Source organism: Homo sapiens, chromosome 17, assembly GCF_000001405.40.
Source record: "Homo sapiens chromosome 17, GRCh38.p14 Primary Assembly".
NCBI lineage: Eukaryota > Metazoa > Chordata > Mammalia > Primates > Hominidae > Homo > Homo sapiens.
The window spans coordinates 10,365,802-10,377,345 of record NC_000017.11 but is presented as its reverse complement, the minus strand read 5'-3'; the positions used below and the strand labels follow the sequence as shown (position 1 = coordinate 10,377,345).

At 40.6% G+C, this 11,544-nt stretch overlaps 1 protein-coding gene across 1 annotated transcript in view; it reads left to right on the top strand.

Annotated features, from left to right (window-relative positions):
- Window positions 1–4,339: 4,339 nt before the first annotated feature.
- The window catches only part of MYH13 (myosin heavy chain 13), a 72,142-nt gene continuing 64,937 nt past the window's right edge, over window positions 4,340–11,544 (top strand). Inside the window, exons 1-2 of the mRNA NM_003802.3 lie at window positions 4,340–4,367; window positions 6,087–6,137. The gene's annotated coding sequence lies outside the window, so the exon portion shown is untranslated. The remainder of the gene's footprint in view (window positions 4,368–6,086; window positions 6,138–11,544) is intronic.

Below are 11,544 nucleotides of genomic sequence, written 5' to 3'. Positions count from 1 at the left end.
CCCTAATACACACTTCTTTTACCACTTGGGGTTTGAAATTTCACTGTTCCTGCTTTGCCTAAATGGGACAGTGTAGAAGAAAAACTACAAGCCCACGCAATGCTCTTCTCCCTGACTCTGCATGGCAGAATCAGAGCCACCAGGGCTGGACTCAGAACCACCAGCCACCAGGACTCACAACCACTGCGAAAGCCACCCTGCGGTGCTGTGGGGAATTTTAACACAGATCTGAAAGCGCAGGGGCATTGAGGGGTAAAGTCTAAGCATCTAACAGCCTGCCTGCCCCCACGAGTCATCAGAACCTGTCCAATCATCTAGGGAAGTTTTACACCAAGATTTTTTCAATAGTCACAACTTGCTTCTAGGCCGCCAGGTTCTCTTGCCACCATTACATCATATCACCAGTTCTAGACTCATCTTCAAATACATATGTGTGTGTGTGCGTGAGTGTGCATGTGTGCGTGTGTGTGTGTGTGTAATCTGCCCACTTTCCTGCTCACAAACCTCAAAAGGCCTCCCAGTGATCTCGGAATAATGCCTGACTCCTTTCCTGGGCACTGAAAATCCATCACAAATAAGCACAGCCCACTTCTGCCTTCACCTCCGTATTACCCCCGACCCCACCCCAGTCCTGTGCTGTGGCCTGGCTCTCCCAGTTGACCTTCCTAAAATATCCTGGGAAGACTTGTTTCCAAGCAATGATCCCTCAGTTCCCTAAGCCTAGAACCTCCTTCCTGTTCCCCTCACCCAGTTAAAAGTCTGCCTCCTTTAAGGGACAGGAGAGACTAGGGGAAAAGGCGTGGCTTTGGAATCAGAAATCCTGGATTTCAGTTCTGGTTCAATTGCGTACTAGCTGTGGGGCCTTTTAGCCAATCCTTTACCCTTTTAGGCCTCAGTTTCCCCATTTAGACCGTGGGAATAATAATAATATGAATCGTATAAACCTCTCAGCCTGGTAGAGAAAAATAAACATAATAAAATATATAAAATCGTCATCTAAACCAAAAAGTACTAAAAGATTATTATTATCTACAGTCACTACTTCTGTCCAGATCTTTTCCCTCCTTCAAAATAAATAAAATGTTATTATTATAACAATTCTGCTAATATTTTATATATACAACACACTTTATGGTTTTTCAAATACCTTGTACATACGTCGAATCCACTGTCCACAATCCAATCAGTTTAGGATAGTTTCATCTGGGAAAGTGATTTATCCTTTTCATGTCTATGCACTTCTCTTCCCATCTGCATTGTCAGCTCCTTTGGGGCAGTGATCTTAGCTCATACCCCTGTTCCCCATTCCCAGCACAGAGTCTAATACCAAGTAGGCACTCAAACATGATGCATTTCCAAAAACGAGATGTTACAGGCATAGGCTCTAGAGCCAGAGAGCACTTGAAACTCATTTCAGCTGCTGACTAGTTGTATGGCCTTGGGCAGATTGCTTAAACTCTCAGTAGTTGTATAATAGAAATGATATTAGCACCTACCTCACAGGACTATTATAAAGCTTCAGTGAATCAATATGGATAAAGCCTGGCATGTGGTGAGTTCTTAAGTCTTTTTTCTTTTCTTTCTTTCTTTCTTTTTTTTTTTTTATGTGAGATGGAGTCTTTCTCTGTTGCCCAGACTAGAGTGCAACGGTGCCATCTTCACTCACTGCAACTTCCACCTCCTGGGTTCACGCGAGTCTCCTGCCTCAGCCTGCCAAGTAGCTGGGAATGCAGGTGTGCACCACCACGCCTGGCTAATTTTATTGGTATTTTTAGTAGAGATGGGGTTTCACCATGTTGGCCAGGCTGATGTCAAACTGCTGACTTCAAGTGATCCACCCGGCTCGGCCTCCCAAAGTGCTGGGATTACAGGTGTGAGCCACTGCACCCAGCCTAGTTCTTAAGTCTTAATTATTACCATTAAATGAAACTCAGAGTCTGATTCCATTCTTTTCTTATCACTTCAGGCCTTTCAACACATGAGTCAGGATGACTCCCCTATGAGTCATCTTGATTCATTTATTCACCAGGACGAACATTTACTGAGCATCTGCTACATGCAAAAGGCTGCACCTCAAATAAAAGCAACTGTGCTTAGGGCTGATCACTCTCGGTTGCTTTCTTCTGGGCCAGAACTTTGCTATGGATTATGTCCTTCAGCCTTTCCTCTCTTGTTTTCTGGAACAGGAAATAAATAAGTTTGTGTTCCAACATCAAATCACCTAGGGAAGTTCCAGGTCTAAAAAAAAAGTATTCATATTTCTTTACTGAAGGGCTTCTCACATCCCTTAATATGCTAATATTTATGATGAATCTCTAACAGGAGGGAATAGAGTTTAACACATTTCTTAAGCTCATTTAACCACAGGACCATTTATTTCGAAGCGACCCTCCCAATCTGCATTCTGTCAAATCTACTTTAGAAAATACTTTGTGGAAGCCAGGCTCATGCCTGTAATCCCAGCACTTTGGGAGGCCAAGGCAGGCGGATCACCTGAGGTCGGGAGTTCGAGACCAGCCTGACCAACATGGTGAAACCCCGTCTCTATTAAAAATACAAAATTAGCTGGGCCTGGTGGCACATGCCTGTAATCCCAGCTACTCGGGAGGCTGAGGCAGGAAAATCGCTTGAACCCACAAGGCGGAGGTTGTGGTGGGCGGAGGTCGCGCCATTGCAATCCAGCCTGGGCAACAAGAGCAAAACTCTGTCTCAAAAAAAAAAAAGAAAGAAAGAGAAAGAAAGAGAGAGAAAGAAAGAAAGGAACGAAAGAAGGAAGGAAGGAAGGAGGGAGGGAGGGAGGGAAGGAAGGAAGGAAGGAAGGAAGGAAGGAAGGAAGGAAGGAAGGAAGGAAGAGAAAATACTTTGTGGAAGTCCTATCTCTACCTGCTCCTCCTCTGGTCTAAAATTCACTTTGATTAATGCAAACTATCTTTTGGAAATGCCCTACCTACATGAAATTCTACCCACTGGAGACTGATTAAGGAAACTTTGATTCAACAAACACTGATTATATACAATTTAAACAGATCACACTGTATTGCAGTAAATGGCTCTAACTTCTACATATACAGTTGTTCCTACATAGTCAAACATCACTTATATTTTAGCAAAAAATAAAAAAACTCCTAAGTAACTATAATTGTCACAAAGTCCACGTATTTTCATTAGAACCCACTAGAGCTGCACTCAGAACTTATTTACTCTTACTTTAGCCTGATCTTAATTTTGTAATCTCTTTCCCAATCAATAATACAAAATCAGGCTAGTAAAGACAAACTTACCACAGAAAGAAATTATACCTGAGAGGCTGGCCATGAAGGCAAAGACAGAAAATCTAAAAAGTAAGGCCAAGTGTGGTGGCTCACACTTGTAATCCCAGCATTTTGGGAGGCCGAGGCGGGAGGATCACTTGAGGTCAGGAGTTCGAAACCACCCTGGCCAACATGGTGAAACCCTGTCTCTACTAAAAATATAAAAATTAGCTGGGCGATTATAGCACATGCCTATATATAACACATGGGATTATAGCACATGCCTATAATCCCAACTACTTGGGAGGCTGAGACAAGAGAATTGCTTGAACCTGGGAAATGGAGTTTGCAGCGAACCAAGATCACGCCACTGCACTCCAGCCTAGAGGAGAGAGCAAGACTCTGTTTCGATAATAATAATAATAATAAATAAAAGTATACACCAAAATTCACAGCAGGAACAATTAGTGCAGGCATGATCCACTAAGAACCAGATCCTTGATGACTTTATTATATCATCTCCCAGACCCCCAGAGTGATCAAGAAAAACTTAAATTCTATTCAAGATAGTAGGTTACACAGAGCAGGATAATGTAAAATACATTTTGGAAAGCTTTTCTTCCAGTAGATTTTTAAACAAACAAATACATAAATAAGACTGGATGTGTTAAAAGGTCAACCTTAAATTTCCAGAGATTTCTGAGATGAGAAGCACACCATCCCATACCAATGCTGGGTAAATGAGGTGTAGTTACTGTCCACACTACTGATCACCCATTGCTTGACAAAGCATCCTGTGGTTCTGCCCTTCAGTGACCTTCTTAGCACACTCTGCTCCAGTTCCACTCAGCCCCTAGGACTCTCTAAGTCTCAAAGATCTGTGTCCAACGTCAAAATCCCTATGCAGCTGACTTGGCATTATGCAGCCTCCACTGGTCATTTATCCAAGTAACTTAACAAGAGTGAGAGATCAGGGCTACGACGCATTTACATCTAACAAGTAAATGGTGCTCCCCCAAATATAGCCAAGTTAGAGTGCTGGGCTGGCAGATTTGGGAGTATAAAGAGAGCTGGGGGGTCACACTCCTGAAATTGCTGTGACCGCAGCATCTCTAGGTAAGTGCTCACAAGTGCTCACTTTTTTGCTCCACGTAGCTATAGTTGCACCTGATCAGGTTACCAGTCAAGGGGGGAAGACAATAAAGTAGCCTTTACGGAGGGCCTACTAAGTGCAAGGTCTTGTGTTGAGGGCAAGGTTGGAGACAAGATGGAAAGACAAGACAACTGCCTTTCAAGAAACTTTTACAAGGGGTGAAAAGACAAGAATATAAGCAATTATAAGACAAAAAATATTCACCTGCAGAACAAAACTGAGTATAATGCATGATTCCTCCTCTGATTATTTAGGTCAATGTTATACTGTTCAGTTAGCAAATTAACTTGGTAACTTGTGGTATCTCTTCTGTGATTGCTTAAGCTATTATTTGAAATTTTTATGTTTATTTAATTTGTTTCCCATGTCAGGATTTCTGAAAAATGGTTGTGGGAGGAAATAATCCCAAGCATCTTACCCATCTTACAAAGTGTCATAGTCTGATATGAATTGACTGGTTTGCAGACTGTTCTCACATGGCATATTTTATGGACTTGGGACTGGACTGTGTCTGACAGTGCAATAGCATCCCTCAGAGATTTGTGATACTTTGAATTCAGGCCACCATCTCTACGGAGAACTGTCTGTTATAGACTCATAGGGCTGAAAGGAATCTTGGAGATTTTCTGGTGCATCTGATTCATTTTACGGAAGGAAACAGAAACCCAAAGAAATCATACCAGCTACTTAACAGAACTGATATTAGAATTTCTGTAGCTCTGCCTCCATATTTTTTTAAATTGAGGATTCAGAATATAGTATGTAATACTTTAATTTTTTAAGAAATTGTGAGAATTTTAGGATATAACTGGAGATTATTTAAGATGCATTAAAGACGGAGAAGGAAGGAGGCAACAAGGATAGTAAACCAAATCCTAAGTGTCTGTTCCTGCCTAAATAGGGCTTCATGAAATATTCCCCTGGCTCCATAAAAGCACTGAATGGTAATTGGGAAGTTTGCTTAGATTACATTTGATATTGAAAATTTTTCAGACACTCATGCCTCCTTGAGATAGCCACGTAGTTTATAAACTCCTAGAGCTGAGATTCCTTAGTCCCAGGTGACTTTTCAGCTGCCCTACCTTCATCATCTGCAGGAGGAATTTAGAGCATTGAAGAGAATAAAGAAGTCTTTGTCCACAATTTATAACTTTTCTCCTATTGCCAAAAAAAGGTGACTGCCCCTAAGCATCCAAGCTGCAATCTGGAGCATTCCCCTCCCTACTTTCTTTCTTCCCTGACCCCTCACAGCCCCCCAGTCAGAAGCGGTTTCTCTAAGTTCCCATAGTACTTTGTTTAGACTCCTTAAAAATTTGTCTTAATCCTGTTCAAAGACTTACTTGAGCATTCTCTTATCCCTTACTAACTTTTGCATTCCTATAGGGCAGATACTGTACTTTCCTCTTCATACCCCCTTAAGGAGCTGACACAGTACATTGTACACACAGAAGTTTCTCAAGAGAGTATTAATTAAATGTTGTAATTAACCAACTATTTAAAGAATAATGATTTTAATCAAAAGTAAAAATTCAAAACAGCAAATTTATTTCATTCCACACCATCTACTGTGTATCTATTTAAGGTAGATAAACTGGAACAAACATGGTTTCTATATTTATTTAAACTCTTTGTAGCTCATTTGGGTTTTTTTGGTTTGTTTTTTTTTCTCAAATTATCCCCAGGAAGACGCTTTATTCCTGAAGGACACTGACTGTCACTTGGGAACCAAGAAGGTAAGGGTTATTTTCAGCTTGATCATGAATGCAATCATTGAAATTAGCAAACATCATTTTACACGTTCTCATTCTTGCCACACTCATAAGAAGACGAAATTGATGAGTTTGAAACCAATAACTTAACTATTCTTAAAGGTAGATTTTAAAATATATACAGGTTTTACCAAAGGAAGAATGGCTTCTCCTATTTGCTCATTACACTGAAATGTACGAAATATAATGCAGAATTTTGACATACAAGCTCCAAGTCAATACACAGTACTTAGTTGGCACAGAACATGATGTTCATAGGGTCCAAATGCAGTCTTCACACAAAGGCTAACTTTGCTGCTCCTTGAGCAGAGTCTGCACCCATGAATCCACACAGCTGCACCTTCCCTCACGTGTAATACTGAAGGAATGGGGAGGGATCCGTTCAATCCTATGCCCGGTGCGGTAATAAAAACCCTATCCCCTTAAAACGTGTGTTTATTAGAGGTAGTTCTAGATGAATTGGGACCAAAAAAGCCAAGCTGTCATTGAATCATGAGCACATCATTGCTGACAAGACACAGTAGCGGTGAAATTCCCAGGAGAGGGATGAAAGTTGAGAGTAGTGTCATGGTACACAGAGGGTAAACAGAGAGAGAGGAGCCCTCACAAGTGGGTGATGGAGATTAGGCAGGCGGGGGTAGTCATCTCAATTAGAAGGCCCTTAAAGACAGGAACAGAGTGGTTGAAGGGGCACAGCTATGCAACGTTGGAAGCAGGTCCTGCTCTTGGAACAGAGAAGAGGCTAATTAAGGAAACTCTAGAGGGTGGTGCTCAGTGGGCAGCATGAGTCATGCCTAGAGACTTGGGTCAGATCTAACAAGGTGAAGTTTATCAGTCAAAAATGAATGGTCTTCCCCTGGGTCCCAACTCACAGTTGCACAAATATAGGGAGAAGATCTGACTTAGCAACTGCATGCACGGAGAGGATTGAGGGGCTTTGCTCGACACGGAGTGGTGCGTCAGCAGTGTGAGACGTGGCTGCCAACAGGCAATCACCACCTCAAGCATGACACCTAGGTCAAGAGAGGTGAGGGCACACTCCAGTGGAGGGTGACATGTGGTTTGGATATCACACTTTAAAAGATTAACAGGAGTGGGTTCAGGGAAGAGTGACTGAGATGGTAAGGGATTCAAAAGCACATCATAGAAGAACCAGTGGAAGTTGAGGCTATTTAGCATGGAGAAGATAAAGCTAAGCAGAACACAGAACAGCCATCAAAAGGGTGAAGAGTTGTCACGTAGGAAGGTTTGAACTCTTTCTGCTGTTCAAATGGAGAACAAATGGAGAGCCAGATTTTAATTTAAAGCAAGAAGAATCTTTGGCCTATCAAAGGGAAAAGAGTTGTGCCTAAAAGTATCCAACTAGGTTAGATGCACCATTGCAGGAATATGGAGGGATAACTCAAACATCATCTAGGTAATACTACTAGGAGATACTGGGTTCTGAGTCACGGTTAGAGTAAATGAAGGGAGAAAAAATCTCTACTTGAAAACTGTCAGTGAGGCCCACAGGGAAAAGCCTTGTTTTTCCAGGAGGACTAAAAATATGGCTCAACTATCAGCTATGGCAGCCTTTCCCTGACTTCAGACTTTATTCTCCTATTGCCATCACAAGTTTTGCAATAGCCATGTTAACACCAATACTGTCAATTTACTTAATATTTGTATTTACATTGATTCATTTTCTTTTCTTATTTGTTTTTAAAGTTACCTTATATTCTTGCTGTATCAGCATTAGCTGAGAAATTTGTAAGATATTTAAAAGCTCAAACCCAACTCCAGACCTAGTGAATATTCACAGTAGGATTCATATGCCCATTTAAGTTTGACAAACACTGATTTATATCATAGAATACATGGATGTAGCACGCTTCCTAAGTGTTAAACAAATATTACCCTATTTCCATCAATTCTGATTTTTTTATATTTTTTACAAATTTATCCCTGAAATGAGGATGCATATTACAATCTATGAAAGAAGCATTGCAGTTTAAATTAGCTGCATTTTTTTATTTGTGGAAGTTATAATTGATGGCAAATTTTGATAAAATAAGGTAATAGGCTTTAAAATAAGCATACAAATATTAAATTAAGAAATATTTGCCTAAAATTATTTTGTGTACAAGCAATGAGACTGTGCCATGGTTTTGGCTTTAGAAAAACAGAGTAGTTTCATACAAGCAAAGTAATGCTTTAAATCAGTAGTTCCCAAACATCTCTCTGAGGACCTTATCAAAAAATCAGATTCCCTGGTCCCAGCCATAGAGATTATGTTGCAGAGGGTTTTGAAGTAAATCATCTTCCAACACTTTTGGGTATCATGCTTAACGCTAAGTCAAGCTACATATTATAAGGTCGTAAACCTGTAACCAGTCAGGATTCCCTTATGCAATAGGGCAGCCATTCTCAAAGTGTGGTCTGTGGGTTCTTGTAGAGTCCCAAGAACTTTTTAGGAGGCACTTGAGGCTAAAACTCTTTCACAATAATACCCAGCTGTTATTTGCCATTTTCACTGCATGAGTGATGCAAAAGCAAGGATGAATAAATGGCTGGTACCTTATTACAAATCAAGGCACCGCACCAAACTGTATTAGTAATTACTGTATTCTTCACTACCATACACTTGCACTAAAAAGTTTCATTAACAATTTTATGTGATGAAATGGGAAGTCCACCAAAGTTTGATGGTTGTCTCCTGGAAAAGCACATGTGCATTTGTGTGAGTTGCAAGCTGAACTGGCCATTTTATTCATAAAGCACCATTTTTATTTAAAAGACCAACTAGCAGACAAGCTATGGTTATTCAGACTTGGATATTTGGCAAACATGTTCTCCAAAAGGAACAATGTGGTTGTCGTCTCGAGGAAAAAACTGACAGCATTTGTTATAAATCACAACTTTGAGCCTTCAAGTATAAATGAGAATGCATACAGGAAAACATGTATTTGCCACCATTAGCTTGACAACTTCCTAGTACTGAAAGAATTTTCAAATGATATCACACTGGTGATATTGATGATTGTAATTTTTTTAATATTGTGTAAGAAAATGTGTCCACATTTGGAAGTACTATATAATTCAGTGAACCAGTATTTTCCAAACAACCACTGTATGAAATTCACATATGGGAAAAGAAGATCCACTCAAAATGCAAGACAGACTAGTGGATTATAATGTAACAGAGTACAAAATGTTTATTGATATGGCTTCAGATTCCGCATTGCAACTAGCCTTTAAGAAACTACCACTTGTCAAGTTTTGGTAGAGTATCTGAGAAGAAAATTCACAATTATTTGAAAAGGTGACTAAAATACTCTTTCCTTTTCTGAATTACATAGCTAAATATTTTATATTTACTTTCACCAAACATACAGCAATGGCATGAATACAGAAGCAGATATGAGAATCCAACAGTCTTCCATTAAGGAGACATTAAAGAGATTTGCAAAAAATGAAAACACTACCCTTCTCACTAGTCTTTTTGTTTTGGAAAATATGGTAATTTTTATTAAAATATTTATGTTGGCCAGGCACGGTGGCTCATGCCTTTAATCCCAGCACTTTGGGAAGCTGAGGCGGGAGGATCACTTGAGGTCAGGAGTTCAAGACCAGCCTGGCCAACATGGTGAAAACCCGTCTGTACTAAAAATACAAAAATTAGCTGGGCATGGTGGTGGGCACCTATAATCCCAGCTACTCAGGAGGCTGAGGCAGGAGAATCACTTGAACCCGGGAGGTGGAGGTTGCAGTGAGCTGAGATTGCGCCACTATACTCTAGCCTGGATGACACATTGAGACTCCATCTCAATAAAATAATAAAATAAAATGTTTATGTTAATGTAATGAATTTGACAGTAATTTTTAGTTAATGAATAAATATTTTTTAATTTCTCAATTTTAATTTTCAATATGGTAAATATCAATAGATATGACTTACATAAACCAAATCTTATGGGGCTTTCAGTCATTTAGTTTTAAGAGTGCGAAGGCGTCCTGAAACCACAAAGTTTGAGAACCGCTGCTGTAGCGAAATCCACCTAAGCCATTACATTAGGGACTATCTTCAAAGAAATGAGAGAAGAAAGCCATGTGGATGAATTCTTTCTCATCCTCCAGGTGGTAACTGAGAGACTCTAAACCAGCATGATGGCTGCAGGCCAAGAGTCTTATTTGTGGGTGCTGCATTTGAATTCCAGTCCCTTACTATGAAAACCTAACCATGAACCCACAGATGGTTCAGCAGAGCCACTGAACAAAGTATAACTAAAATGCAACTTATCTGAATAAGGCCCCATGGGAAGTGGATGCTTTTCTTTCTGTAAGACAGAACCCCACAGAATCACAGGAAAGGATATTTCAACAATGGCCAGTTACCAATAAAGAGAGCAATTTCATAAAGGCTAAGATGGGGGAGAGAACTATAACATGTTCAACTTTCCCACTATAAAAAGAGGACATAAAAGACCTTATTCAAAAAATATGACGTATTTCAGGCGGGGCATGGAGGCTTACACCTGTAATCCCAGCACTTTGGGAGGCCAAGGTGGGCGGATCACCTGAGGTCAGGAGTTCAAGACCAGCCTGACTAACATGGCAAAACCCCATCTCTACTAAGAATACAAAAATTAGCCGGGTGTGGTGGTGGGCGCCTGTAATCCCAACTACTCAAGAGACTGAGGCAGGAGAATTGCTCGAACCCGGGAGGTGGAGGTTGCAGTGAACCGAGATTGTGCCATTACACTCCAGCCTGGGAGACAGAGCAAGACTCCATCTCAAAAAAAAAAAAAAAAACAGATTTATTTCTTAAGAGAGATATGGAGAGATATGTGTGGGTGTGCGTGTGTGTGTGTATGACTTGACTCCATTTTATGTCAGTTATAGAATTAAGTGGGAAGGAAAAGAGGAGAGAAGGGAAGGAAAGAGGAAAGAGACTTGAGGAAAATAGGTAGTGGAGTAGAGGGAAGAGGTGCCGAGGGGGAATGAGAGAAGCAAATTCTGAGAAGAGGAACAGTCCACACAGGACTTACGGGAACCTTAGACAGGAGTGAGGCTGGCTTCTCCCTTATAAGTGGGAAGAGGCTGTGGACCAGAGAGCTTAAGTGGTTTGATCAGTGCTAGGACTTTAAGATGAATTTTCTGCATTCTAAGCAGGGACAATACATTACATAAAAGAAGGAAAAAATACATAAAGAGAAGAGCAAGAAAGGCAGCAAAGGGAGATAGTTTAGGAGAAAGTGATACAAGGGATGAGAGAGACCAATACCCCCTACACACACACAGCCCCATACACACACACACACACACACACACACACACACACACACACACACACCATGCAGCAAGTTCTAAGGTGGGTATTAATCTAACTAAA